General features: G+C 43.3%; 1 long non-coding RNA gene across 4 annotated transcripts; it reads left to right on the top strand.

The window, feature by feature from the left end:
- LOC105371153 (uncharacterized) lies at nucleotides 1–4,371 on the top strand. Of its 4 annotated transcripts, XR_001752326.1 has the most exons (5): nucleotides 1–773; nucleotides 1,248–2,022; nucleotides 2,827–2,912; nucleotides 3,932–4,089; nucleotides 4,336–4,371. It is a non-coding gene; the product is annotated as an uncharacterized LOC105371153 (long non-coding RNA). The 4 variants fall into 4 exon arrangements; XR_950951.1 differs by lacking the exon at nucleotides 1,248–2,022; XR_001752325.1 differs by having other exon boundaries at nucleotides 1–2,022.
- The last annotated feature ends 10,299 nt before the right edge of the window (nucleotides 4,372–14,670 follow it).

The following is a 14,670-nucleotide window of genomic DNA, read 5'->3' as shown; positions in this document are numbered from 1 at the left end:
TGGTGGAGCGTTTAGGAGTCTCAACATGTAAAGGGTGGTTGGAGTTTCAAAGAGCTGAGAAAGAACTTGACGAGGGATGGCAGAGAGGTACGAAGTTCAGGAAAGTGATGTCGTGAAGCCAAGGGAGAGAGATGTGAGAAGAGAATGGCAACATGTTGAAAGTTGCACGGAGGTCAAATAAAAGGGAAGACACCTCCATACATTTAGGAAAAAGCTGGAGGCAGAAACGAGACTGTAGTGCGTTGGAGAGTGAATGGGAGAGAGATGAACATAGTGTATATGCTGGCCTAAGAAAGGCAAGCAAGAGATTGGGCAGGACCCAGAGGAGATGTTGGATTGTGGGAGGTGTCTGCATTCCTTCAAAAGCAGACCTTGAAACAGAATTGAGTGCAAGTGGTTTATTTTGGAGATGATCCCAGGAAACACCAATATGGGTGGCGGGTGAAGAAAGGAGACATCAGTAAAGAATATTTCAGCAAGCAAGATGAATGTGGGAATATGGAGCTTAACTTTATTGGGTAACCCTGGAAGACAGTATGGACTGTGTATTCAAAGTTAATTCCCCATTAACTTTGGGGAGCTGGGATATATTTATCCACCAATTTTAGTCATTGGTTGAGCTTCCGTTCCTTGGGGATTGGGGAAGCATTAATTTCCCAGGCACCTTTAGCAGGCCATGTGCATGGGGAAAGGAGGCTCTGGCAGCCAGATAAAGTCCTCACGTAAAAAGACAGGAGATGGCAGTTGGAAGTTGGATGAAAGTGATGAAAATGGTAAGAACTGAGGGGCTACAGATGGGGACACTGAAAGCATCTGTTGCAGGAGGGATTTAGTGTTTTTCTAGCCTGAAAAGAATGTATCATGAATTGAATGGTGAGGATGCATGAGAGGGATGGGTTGAAGGTATAAGTGAGAGGGGGGATAAATGATGCAGAGTGGTTCAAGAGGAGGGGGAAGGGAGTGTGAGTAAGAATGCAATTGAAGGGCTTTGTTGAAATGATATGAGGTTGTGGTTGGTAAGTAGGAGGCTGGGATTTATATTCTAGCAGAAATTCAGCATATCATGATCCTGGGTGTGGGTGGCTGAAATGGTAGGAAAGTGAATTCCATTGGAGCTGGCAAGTCAAGCACCAGGGAGGTGAAGATGTGGACATGGGTTCATTAACATTGGAAATCAAAGTCCCTAAGGACTTGAGGGTGGAGAGAAAGACTAAATCAGCTGCCAAAGTTATTAGTGTTATTAAAAGTCACAAGGTACCCCAGTGAGCCAAGAGTGTGTATCAACCATTGGGTGCTAGACCAGGAAGGAGTCAGAAGAACAAATCAGTCTGAAGAGTCTGATTATTATTTAATGGGTGAGTCTAGCTGGAAGTTTTGAAAGGAGGTTAGAGAACAGAGCTGAAAAGTGGCAGCAAGAGTCAAATTCAAGGAGCAGGCAGGAGGCCAGGGACAAAAAATAGGATCAGGAACCAGAGAAATCAAATACAGTTTAGGAAGCCGAGTTCAAGATTGGTTCAAGTTTATGGTGTAGGTTGAAGGCTGTGGATAAGGAGAGAAAATAAGGACGCATGTTTTTTAGGGGGATCCATGTGGGCAAAGAGATGGACAGCAAGCCCAAAGCCCTGTCCCTACTTGGTTTTCCCTTATTCCCTGAGCCTCACTCCTGCTGAAATCCAGGAGTCCATGGGATCCAGTTTGAAGGTCACTGAGGAATTGGAGTGAGTTCAGACTCTGGAGTCAGACTGACCTGGGTTCAGATCTCTGCTCAATCTCTTCTAGCTGTGAATCTTGAGGAAGTTTTTCACCTGCAAGTGTAATTGAACCTATATTGAAGGATTGTTCTCTGTTCTTGCTCAAAGAATGGTTTGCATTACTTTAAGATGACAATGATACACATTCATGAAGCAACGTTACGTAGGGCTCTAAGAGTGTGTAATAGGGGCATTTTACCCAGTCAGGAGACCAAGGGAGGCTGCCCTGAGGAGGTGACATTTGAGCTAAGATGGGCGGAATGAAAAGGAGGTAGGTAAAAGTGGAAGTGGGAGCATTCTAGGAAGTGGAGACAGTACGTATAAAGACCGTGTGGTGGGAGGAAGCATGGCCCACTTTAGTAATCGAGTCAAGGGCAGTGTAGCTGCAATGGAGAAAGTGAGAAAGGGCATAGAGGGGCTTCTGTCAGCAGCCAGTCCATGCAGGACCTTGATCTGCATCATAAAAGCAATGAGAAGTCAGAATTTTAGCAGGAAGGTAACTTGGTCAGTTGGTGGTTTTGGCTGCTGGATGAAGGAGAGACAATGGGAGGGAGCACAGGTTAAGGAAGGGGCCAGTGAGTGGTCATCGCCTTCATCCAGGGAAAGGATAAAATGGGCTTGGAATAGGTGCTAGAGGTGGAGCAAAAGACGAGAATAATTTGAGAGATGTTAGGGAAGCAGCATACACAGGATTTGGTGAGGGATTAGGTTATAGGGAGTTGGAGAGTTTGAGGATGAGAGCCTCATTTCCAGTGTGGCAGTCAGGCATACCTAGTTGCCCACCTCAGAGTCATTCCTCCTTTTTTCTTCAATGTCATATTCCATTTTTGGAGGATCACTGTGCTCAGGCTGGGTTTCCCGAGCACATTGATCCCCAGGAATCATGGACCATGATTAGTTTAAGCCAAACATCATAATCCTGCTTCTGCTTAGTGACTGATTTAGAGGGAAGCCTGCAACCTAGGTTTAGCCAATGAATCCAAGGGTATGAATGAGCTTACATTGGGAGATTTACAATGAGGAGAGATAAGGGCTGAGATCCAAATCTTGAGTAATTTCAATATTTCATGGCCAGACACTGAAGAATGAGCTGTAGAAGGAACAGAGAGTTAGAAGCTAGAAAAGTACATGGAGAACCATACAACTGTGGTGTCATAAAAGGTAAGGGAAGAAAGAGTTCCTGAAAAAGGAAGTGTGTGTGGAGGTAGTGAATAGAATGATAGGTATGAGAGGCTGGGAAGAGTGTGCAGGTGGGAGGTGGGCATGAAGACAGGTTGGTAAACTGGACATACATACAGTTAGATAGAAGATATAAATTCTAATGTTGAATAGCAGAGTAGGGTGACTATAGTTGGCAGCAATGTAGTGTATATTTCAAAGCCACTAGAAGAGGAAACTTAAGTTGTTTCCAACACATAGAAATGATAAATACTCAAAGTGACAGATATCCCAAATACTCCGACTTGTTCATTATACATTCTACATATGCCACAAATACTCACATGTACACCATAAATATGTAAAGGATTATGTATCAATAAAAAAAGAAAAATGTGAGTGCATACCCATGCAGAATATTGTTGAAACATCAAAGCAAGTGAAAGACTAAAACTTTTCTGACTCTCTTGCTTTCCTGATAAGGAATTTGCAGACAGAATAAATGTTTGTATTAGTTACACAGCAAGTTGGTAGCACAACCTTTGTATCAGTTAGCTATTGCCGTGTAAGAAAGAACTCCAAAATGAAGTGATATTTATTCTAAACCACTAATATTTATTCTAACAGTTTTGTTGGGTTGTTCTGCTGATCTGAGCCAGGTTTGTCCAATCTTTACTGGACTCATTCGTGGTCAGCTGGTAGATTGGCCAGAGCCTTGCTGGTATAGGATGGCTTTAGCCAGGACGGATTGTTAGTTTGTCTCTGCTCCATGTGGTATCTCATTCTCCAGTAGGCTGGCCCAGGGGTATGGGCTCCAGGTAGATGGAACAGGAGGTACAAAGATTCTGAGGTGAGAACAAGCTTGAATGCTTGAGGAAGAGGAGGAGGAAGGCCTGTGTGGCTGAGACCAGTGTGCATGGGGAAGAGCAGGAGCAGCTCAGAGTGGGATTGGGTTGGGAAGAATATAATGAGTGCCTCAAAGACCTCTGCAAGGATTTTTGCTTTTATTTTATTACTATTAGACTTATCTTCTGCTGTGTTACCCTGGTTGACTCCAGTTTGGCTTCTACTCCATGGAAGAGGTTTTACATTTCATCTGGCCCTGTGAATGTGGACTCCGTTTCTCCCCTCCCTGTGCTGACATTTCTTCCATTTTGTCCCCCTGAGTGGTGCAAGACAGGTCAGCATACCCAGCTCAGAAATCACTCAAATTTAGGAAAAAATACTTGCAAAATACCCATGTGACAAGGGATTCATAACCAGAATATATGAAGAGCTCAAACAACTCTATAGGAAAAAAATCTAATAGTCTGTTAAAAAATGGGCAAAAGCATCAGTGACAGATTGGATAAAGAAAATGGGGGGTAATTATACATCATGGAATACTATGCAGCCATAACAAAAGAATGAAATCATGTCTTTGCAGGAACTTGGATGGAGCCAGAGGCCATTATCCTTAGCAAACTAACACAGGAACAGAAAACCAAATGCCACATGTTCTCACTTGTAAGTGGAAGCTCAATGATGAGAACACATGGACGCAAAGAAGAGAACAACAGACACCGGGGCCTACTTAAGGGTGGGGGGTGGGAGGAGGGAGAGGATCAGAAAAAATAACTACTCGGTACTGGGCTTTAGTCCCTGGGTAATGAAATAATCTGTGCAACAAACCCTTGTGACATAAGTTTACCTATATAGCAGACTTGCACATGCACCCCTGAACCTAAAATAAAAGTTTTGAAAAATGGGCAAATGATTTGAATAGATGTTTCTCAAAAGAAGACCTACAATGGCAAAAAGGCATATGAAAAGATGCTTAACATCATTGATCATCAGAGAAATGCAAATCAAAACTATGATGAGCAAATCCTGGCAAGGATGTGGAGAAAAGGGAACCCTCGTACCCTGTTGGTGGGAATGTAAATTAGGACAAACACTATGGAGAACAGTGGTTCTCAAAAAACTAAAAACGGAGCTACCATATGATCCAGCAATTCCACTGCTGGGTGTATACTGAAAAGAAAGGAAATCCATATATCAAACAGATATCTGCACTCCTATGTTTGTTGCAGCACTGTTCACAATAGCTAAGGTTTGGAAGCAACCTAAGTGTCCATCAACAGATGAATGGATAAAGAAAATGTGGTACATGTACACAAGGGAGTACTATTCAGCCATAAAAAAGAATGAGATCCAGTTATTTGCAGCAACATGGATAAAACTGGAGATCATTATATGAAGTGAAATAAACCAGGCACAGAAAGAAAAACATTGTATGTTCTCACTTATTTGTGGTATCTAAAAATCAAAACAATTGACTCATGGAAATAGAGAATAGAAGGATAATTACCAAAGGCTGGGAAAGGTAGTGGGGGCCTGGGGACAAGGTGGGGATGGTTAATGGGTACAAAAAATAGAAACAATGACTAAGACCCACTATTTGGTCACACAACAGGGTGACTATAGCCAATAATAACTTGATTGTACATTTTAGAATGACTGAAACAGTGTGATTGGATTGTTTGTAACACAAAGCCTACATGCTTGAGGGGATGGATACCCCTTTCCCCATGATGTGTTTATGTCATATCGTATGCCTGTATCAAAAAATCTCATGTACCACACAAATATAAACATTGCTATGTACACATAAAAATTAAAAATTAAAAAAATTTTTAAAAAGGAAATCACTAAAACGTAAAGTCTCATCCTAAAGTCCCATCCTCCAGGTTAACAGGATATGACCCACAGACCAAATCCAGCCCACTGCCTGTTTTTGTAACCAAAATTTGTTCCAATTTTATTGGAACACAGCCGTGCCCAATTGTCTACCTATTGTCTGTGGTCACTTTTGTGCTACAAAGGCAGAGATGAGTAGTTTTGACGGAGACTGTACGGCCCACAAAGCCTTAAATATTTATTATCTGCTGCTTTAGAGATAAAGTTAAACCTTCCGGAACTTTAGAAGAAATACACTGAATTCTTTCCTGCCTGGAAGGGTGGGGAAGTTCGGGTCTGTGGCATTGTCTATGGGCAAAGGAGATTCAAGTGTGCACAAGTACACACTCTGCTTGGTTTCTAGTATCTTGCCCCACTCATCTCTGCTTCTTTGGGTTGACTTCCAACCCTGCTCCAGGCAATAGGGACACTCCTGATGTCTTAATCTGCTCTTGCTGCTATAACAAAATGCCATAGAGCAAGTGGCTTAAATAAAGCACATTTGTCTCTCAGTTTTGGAGGACAGGAAGTCCAATATCAGGGTGTCAGCATAATTCCATAATGGGGCCCCACCCTCATGACCTCATATAAACCTAATTACCTATCAAAGCTCCACAAATTATTTTGACCTCAGTAATTTCTGCAACTCTGGCCAATATACCTAGTTTTAGAAAAGCAGGAAAAAAAATCTTGGAAGCCTGCAACCAATAAAATATTGGTACATGGGGTTGGAGGGTGGTAGGTAGGAGTTAGGGCATCAGAATATGAATTCTGGGGGACACAAACATTCAATCCCTAACACCTGACATCTCTTATATTTTTGCCTGCTCCCTCAATCAGAATGAATGGTGGGTAGCAGGGCAGTATAGTTAGTGGCTGAAGAACAGTCTCTGGAGTTAGGCACACCTGAGTTCAAGTTACCTGTTATCTTGGGGAAATCTTAGAACATTTCGTCATTGAAAGAGTGAATGATGGCTGGACGCAGTGGCTTACGCCTGTAATCCCCAAATTTTGGGAAGCTGAGGCGGGAGGATCATTTGAACCCAGGAGTTCAAGACCAGCCTGGCCAACATGGTGAAACTCTGCCTATACAAAAAATACTAAAAAGTAGCCGGACATGGTGGTGTGGGCCTGTAGTCCCAGCTAACTCTGGAGGCTGAGGTGGGAGGATTGCTTGGGCCTGGGAGGTCGAGGCTGCAGTGAGCTGAGATAGTGCCACTGCACTCCAGCCTGGACAACAGTGAGACCCTGTCTAAAAGAAAAGAAAAAGAAAGAAAGAAAGAAAGAAAAGAAAAAGAGTAAATGATAGGCTGAGGCTGGAGGATTGCTTGAGGCCAGGAGTTGGAGATCAGCCTGAGCAACACAACCAGACCCCACCCCCACAAAATAAAAATAAATAAAAAGAGACAGCCAATGATAGTTTGCAGCTCTTTGGGTTAGTGTAAGGACTGAGGATAGCTTGTATGATGCTTAGTTGACAAATAGTAAGTGCCCAATTTTAAATTGTAACTATAACATAAATTTCAGGAAACCACCTTTCTCCCCTTTGGAGGAAAACAAGAAGAGCCTCTGGCAAGTGGTGTGGATAGAATCAGTAAGTCCGTATTCAGCCTTCATCTCAATAATTTCTGCAACTCTGGACAATATACCTGATTTTAGGAAAGCAGTGGGAAAATCAGTATCTTGAAGCTTGCAACCAATAAAATATCAGAAGTGGCAATTTCATCCTCTCCGTGTCTGCCTGCATCACTAACAGTGTACTCAACACCGGGGTGGTGAGGAGTTCGGGGTAAGGCAGGCTCGTAAAAATGACCGATGCGGGTATTAATGATTTAATCTGCTAACGTGGCGTGGCTGCCTCCGAGAATCCTATTTGTCAGCGTCCGGGAACCCATTACCAGGAGCCTGGGCGAGAAGCGCCGGGGATAGCGCGCGGATGTGGCGCGAATGAAGATGAATGGCGGAGCACAATATTGATTTGCTTTGCCTGGAACCGTCGCATTCTGTTTGGAAATATGGAAAACAAATTAATGAATAAATGAGCTGGCTTGGTGAACTGCGCCCCTCTGGGATCCCTGGTATTAAAGCCACATATGCCAAGCAGACTCTTAGCTAAATAAGGGGGAGAAGAGGGTTTGCTAAGAGGGGAGTGTGGCTGTGAGCCTTAGCCTGAGGACCGCGCCCCAGGGCTTCAGAAAGCAGTAGCAGGTGTCCTGGGGTCAGACAGGTTTTTCTTTCTTTCTCTTTTTTTTTTCTTAAGAGACAGAGTCTGGCTTTGTTGCCCAGGCTGGAGTGCAGTGGTAAGATCATAGCTGACTGCAGCCTTGAACCCCTGGGCTCAAACGATCCTTCCACCTCAGCCGCAGGTTTAGCTGGTGCATGCCACCATGCCTGGCTAATTTTATTTTTATTTTTTCATTTTGTATTTTTTTGAGACAGTCTTGCTTTGTCGCCCAGGCTGGAGTACAGTGGCGCCATCTTGGCTCACTGCAACTTCCGCCTCCTGGGTTCAAGCAATTCTTGTGCCTCAACCTCCCGAGTAGCTGGGACTACAGTCATGTACCACGACGCCAGGCTAATTTTTGTATTTTTGGTAGAGATGGGGTTCTGCCATGTTGGCCAGGCTGGTCTCCAACTCCTGGTCTGAAGGGATCCACCTGCCTCGGACTCCCAAAGTGCTGGGATGACAGGCATGAGCCACTGCGCCTGGCCTAATTTTAATTTTTTTGTTGTTGTTGTTGAGATGGGGTCTTGCTCTATTGCCCAGGCTGGTCTCCAACTCCTGGCCTCAGGTGATCCTCCCACCTTGGCCTCCTAAAGTGCTGGGATTTACAGGCATGAGTCACTGGGCAGGCTGCAGAGAGATTCTTTTTTTGAGACAGGTTCTTGTTCTGTTGCCTGGGCTGAATATAGTGAAGGATCGTAGGTCACTGTAGCCTCGAGCAGCCTCGAACTCCTGGGCTCAAGTGATCCTCCTGCCTCAGCCTCCCAAGTAGCTGGAACTACAGGTGTGTACCACTATGCCTGGCTAATTTCTAAATTTTTTTAAAAGATGGGGACTGGCTGCATTGCCCAGGCTGGTCTCAAACTCATGGCCTCAAGTGATCTCACTTCAGCTTCCCAAAGTACTGGGATTAGAGGCATGAGCCACCACACCCAGCTGCAGACAGGTGCTTGATGGAACTTTGGTTCTGTCTCTGTTAGCTGTGGGCCTCCAAAATTCATGCAATCTCTCTGAACTTGATTTTCTTTATCAGAAGAAAGGGGGTCATGTACCCACCCAAAGGAGGATTCAGTCTTATCAGGCATTTAGGGTGGTGTAAAAGTAATTGCGGTTTTGGCCATTAAAAGTAATGATCTCTATTGGCTCTACCTCTTATATGCTGATATATTGGACAAATTATTTGACCTCTCTGTGCTTCAAAATCCCCTTGATATGGTTTGGCTGTGTCCCCACCCAAATCTCATGTTGAATTGTAGCTCCCACAATTCCCACCTATCATGGGAGGGACCCAGTGGAAGGTAATTGAATCATGGGGGTGGGTCTTTCCTGTGCTGTTCTCGTGATAGTAAATAAGTCTCATGAGATCTGATGGTTTTATAAAGAGGAGTTCTCCTGCACAAGCTCTTTCTTCCTTGCTACCATGTAAAATGTGACTTGCTCCTCCTTGCCTTCCACCATGATTGTGAGGCCTCCCCAGCCACGTGGAACTGTGAGCCAATTAAATCTCTTGTCTTTATAAATTATCCAGTCTTGGGTACGTCTTTATCAGCAGTGTGAAAACAAACTAATGCACCCCTTCTATCTCATGGGGAAAATAATAAGACCCATCCCATTGGGTTGTTAAAATTAACTGAATCAAGCATTTAGAATAGTGCCTGAGACACAGACAGTGGCACATGTATACATATGTAACTAACCTGCACAATGTGCACATGTACCCTAAAACTTAGAGTATAATAAAAAAAAAAAAAGAAAGGAAAAAAAATAAATAAAAAAAAAAAAAAAAAAAAAAAAAAAAAAGTGGTAGTTTTAAAAACTGTTCAACATTCAAGAATTATTTATCAAGCACTTATTAAGTGCCAATTACTCTTCTAGGTGCCCAGAGTAGAGTTGTGAACAGAGTAAAATCCCTTCTTTCATAGAATTTTATTGCTATTTTTTCTCTATGGATGTCCAAATGTTTCGGCATTGTTTGTTGAAAAGACTATCCTTCCTCCATTGAATTACATTTACACCTTCATCAAAAATTAGCTGCCCATACTTGCAGGGGGATATTTCTGGGTTTTCTGTGCTATTCCATTGATCTGTGTGTCTGTCCTTCTGCCTATATCACACTATCTTGAATACTGTAGCTCCAGAATAAATCTTAGAAGTGAGTAGTATGATTTTCTCACTTTAGTCTTTTTTTCAAAATTATTTTAAGTTTTCTAGTTTGCTTCCATTTTCATATAAATTTTACAGTAGTTTGTCCATATCTACAAATGTCTTTCAGAAATTTTGATAGGGACTGTATTAAACCTGTATATCCATTTGAGGAGAACTGACATCTTTACTACGTTGAATCGTCCAATCTATGAACATGGTATGTCTCTCCATTTATTTAGATCTTCTTTGATTTCTTTCATCCACACTTTGTAGTTTTTGCCACACAAGCCCTGTAATATTTTGCTAGATTTATTCCTAAGCATTTCATTTTTATGAACAATTGTAAATGGTATTATGCTTTAAATTTTAGTTTATACTTGTTCATTGTTAGTATACAGAAATAAGATTGATCTGTATGTGTTAATCTTGTATCCTACAACCTTGCTGAACTCACATATTAGTTCTAGGGGTTTTATTTGTATGTGTTTAGGTTCCTTGGAATGGTCTACCTATATACTCGTGCCATATGCAAATAGGAACAATTTTATTTCTCCCTTTCTAATATGTACAGATAATATAGATATTTGGAATTGGTTATTATTACATCAAGAAACACTAATGCCCAAAGAGGCCAGTCTGGTGGAAACTGTGACAAATGGCAGCCCAGGCTGGCCAAAGGGGGCTGCAGCTACCTAGCTATGAGGGAGTTTAAATCCAATCTTTAGATTGTTAAAACAGATCTCATTGTGAGATTTTCTGATATGTAAATGTTGGTGAGTTACTCAAATATTTAAACACCTCTTAGGCCAAGCAAAACACACCTGTAAGCAGGACTGAGCTTGCACCAGTTTGCAACCTGGCACAAAATGGGCATTCTGTAGACAGAAGCAGCGGCTCCTCCTGCCAGATGTCACAGGTGGGCACTGCTTAAGGGATGTGTTGGGGAGCACTTGCTGCTGATTTTCCCCGGGGTTCCCAGGGTGGACAAGAAGACCTATGGAGATGAAGGTTTAACTGCATCTGTAAGGCTGTCTCTGGAATTCTCATGGCTCAGAACTAGCTGGCTGGGTGCTTCACTTTCTCCTCAGCAGCAAAGCAGCTGTGTCTCAGGTGGCTGGGCCAGGGTGTGTAACTCCAGGGTAATCCATGACAGGGGCTGATAAGGAGGGGTAGAGTCAGGATTGGACAGTGGAAAAAACTTGGGAAAATTACAGAAAGTGGCTGAGTTGTCTATGTGCAAAATGGGAGATGCAGGGGGAAGGAGGGAGTAAATGAATATTGAGTAAATATGCTGATCACCATGCTAGTTTTCTCCCACCCTCCCTTCCTTTTTTTCTTCCTTCCTTTCATGCAACATGTATTTATTCAGGGCCTTCTCTGTGCCAGGCACCGTGCTGGGCTCCGTGCCAGACACTGTGCTAGGCACTCGCCTCTCATTCTTTACATTTTCCTATAACGTAGGCATCATTCCCTCCATTTCACAAATGGGGAAACTAAATGACCACACCTGTGGTCCCAGATCTGTCTGACTTCAGTGACGGTGCTCTTTGTACCACGTGCACTTTGATATCTCACAAAGGGTGCAACAAACACCTCTGTCATCTCCTGGCAATCTTTGGTTCCAGGAGCTCTAATCTGGTAGGAGGAATGTAGCAGAAGCAGAATCCAGGTGACTGCTGAATCCATAAATCAGGCAGACCATGACCTGCATTGTCCATACAGTGGCATGAGGCATCAGCAGGAGGATGACCTGGGACCAATAGTCTTCTGTAAATCCATCTATGAAGGGGCAAGGAGGAATCCAGCAGTGCCCTCGGGTCTTAACTGCAGTTTCATTCACTGTAAAATATTTAAAGAGGCTTATTCTGAATCTGTGTGAGTGACCATGGCTCTGGGAACAGTCTCGAAAGGTCCTGAAAAAGTGTACCTAGGTGGTTGGGTTACAGTTTGGTTTTATACATATCAGGGAGACAGGAATTGTAGGTAAAAGCATAAGTCAATACATGAAAGGTGTACATTGGTTCAGCCTAAAGAGTTGGGATATTTTGAGGTGGAGGCTTACAGATCATAAGTGGCTTCAAAGATTTTCTCCCTGGCAATTGGTTGAAAGAGTTAAATTGTGTCTAAAGACTTGAAGTCAGTAGAAAGAAATGCCTGAGTTAAGATAAGGGGAGTTGTGGAGACTGAGGTTCTTGCTATGTAGATGGAGCCTCCAGGTAATGGTTTCAGACTTTAAAAGCTGTGAGACTCTTAGTTAATCTCTCCTAGATCCGGGAAAGTCCTGCAGTTATCTCTCCTAGATCCGGGAAAGTCCTGCTGTATTAAGGGAGATTCTCTACAGATGTAAATTTTCTCCACAAAATAGTTTTGCAGGGCCATTTCAAAATATGTCAGACAAATAGATTTTGGGGCAAAATATTTTGATTTCCTTCAGGATCTGCTATCTATTATGTGATGCTATACTAGAGTCAGTTTGGAATTTGCTATCTTATTGCCGAAGAGTCTGTTTTGTCAAGTCCTATAATCTCTACTTTAATGTTAATGTTGGGCCGGCTGCGATGGCTCACACCTGTAATCCCAGCACTTCAGGAGGCTGAGGCAGGTGGATCACCTGAGGTCAGGAGTTTGAGACCAGCTGGGCCAACATGACAAAACCCCATCTCTACTAAAAATACAAAAATTACCCGGGCGTGGTGGCATGTGCCTGTAATCCCAGCTACTCAGGAGGCTGAGGCAGGAGAATCACTTGAACCTGGGAGTTGGAGGTTGCAGTGAGCCAAGATCGCACACTACCCTCCAGCCTGGGTGACAAAGTGAGACTTCATCTCAAAAAAATATATATGTATATGTAAAATATGAAAATATATATACATTTGTATTTTATATATATAAACAATATAAATATATATATTTTTAAAAATATATATTTTATATATATATATATGTTAATGTTGATCCATTGTGCCTAAATTCCAAAAGGGAGGGGGTATAATGAAGCATGTCCAACCTCCTCTATTAGTCCTTTCTTTCATAGCTATAAAGAAATATCTGAGACTGTGTAATTTATTTAAAAAAGAGGTTTAATTGGCTGGTTCTGCAGGCTGTACAGGAAGCATGATGCTGGCATCTGCTCAGCTTCTGGGGAGGCCTCAGGAAACTCACAATTATGGCATTAGGCAAATGGGGAGCAGCCTTTCACATGGCTAGAGAAGAAGAAAGAGAGAGTGAGGGGAGGCGCCATACACTTAAACAACCAGATCTTGTGAGAACTCTATCAGAAGAACAACATTAAAGGGATGGTACTAAATCATTCATGAAGGACCACCCCCATGATCCAGTCACCTCCCACCAGGCCCCAACTCTGACATTGGGGATTGCAACTGAACATGAGATTTAGGTGGGGACACACATCCAAACCATAGCACCTCCTTTCCTGTCATGGCTGAGAATTCAAATTTTCAGGTTTCTCTGGGGTCCCTTTGGCCCAAAGAGGGCTGTTCAGTAGGTTGGGTGGCTTAGGAATTCTATGTTTGGTTTATAAAAGTCAGAACAGGGTCTCAATAACATTTTTTTCTGAGCATCTGGATCCAGCTATGCCTGAAGCTCTTTCCTTCTAGAGTTCATTCACATTAGCAATTACCTTCTCATTTAGCTTAAGCAGTTTGAGTTGCAAGTAGGAGTCCACATGAAAACAGAAAGAGGGTTGGATTGACCTACTTTCATTGGCTTATGTGCCTGTGTGTCAGAGTCATGTGGTATAATATGGTGATGGATAGAAGGACAGTTTTCAGGGAGTGGTCCTGTGGGCTGAGCCAGGCTTGCTGGTTTTGGCAATCATGAGTGGCTCAGGGTGTCACTATGTTGAGAAGGTCAGGGAATGGCTAGGGAGGTGGCAGTAGGGAAGCTGAGGGGGGAACTTAGAGAAGCACAGCTGGGTACACCAGTCTGGGGTTTAGAGAGGCTGGGGTCCTCTGGGTGTCAGCTGTCATGGTCTCCTAGAGGCACATATGATGCTCAATGAGGGACAGCCAGACTCCTTCCACTGGAGAAATGTCAGGCCTGGAAATGTGCCTGCACTGTGAAAACACGAGGCTTGTAGGAGCATGACACAGCCCTAGAATCCAACATCTCCCTGCAAATGCAGCACCAAGCTCAGAGAACACTTGGCAGGTAAGGTCGCTGCATCCCAGTGTCACCTCAGACACACCCATGCATGGGAGGGTCCCTGGGACATTTCCTCAGCCTGAGGGGCTCCATAGTGGACATAAATCTGGTTTTCATTGCAGTGACTAGACAGCTTCGTGTGTCACCCCAAAACAGCTCACCACTGGCAATGTGACGTTAATAGTCTTGTCATTCTGTCCCTTTCTCCTTCTGCCTGTGCATCTGTATGGACAATTAGGAAAAGACAATTTAATGCTGAAGAAATTAATTGCATTTGCCAAATGGGCTTGAAACCCTCTACAGGCTGTTTCTCTGTCAACACAACAGATTATGGTGCTCAGAAAGTGAGCACTGTTGACTGTTGACACAATCATGTCTGGCTGTGGATCAGCTGTGATTTTTTTTTTGGAGAGGTGGTGCGGTGGAGAGGGTGAAGTGCAGTGGACACACGTGGTGATCCTGGAAAGAAGCTTTGCCTCATTCTTGCATACTCACTGTGGGCCACTATTT

Source organism: Homo sapiens, chromosome 16 (assembly GCF_000001405.40).
Source record: "Homo sapiens chromosome 16, GRCh38.p14 Primary Assembly".
Taxonomy (NCBI): domain Eukaryota; kingdom Metazoa; phylum Chordata; class Mammalia; order Primates; family Hominidae; genus Homo; species Homo sapiens.
The sequence above is the reverse complement of the archived record's forward strand: the minus strand, read 5'-3'. Positions and strand labels throughout refer to the sequence as shown.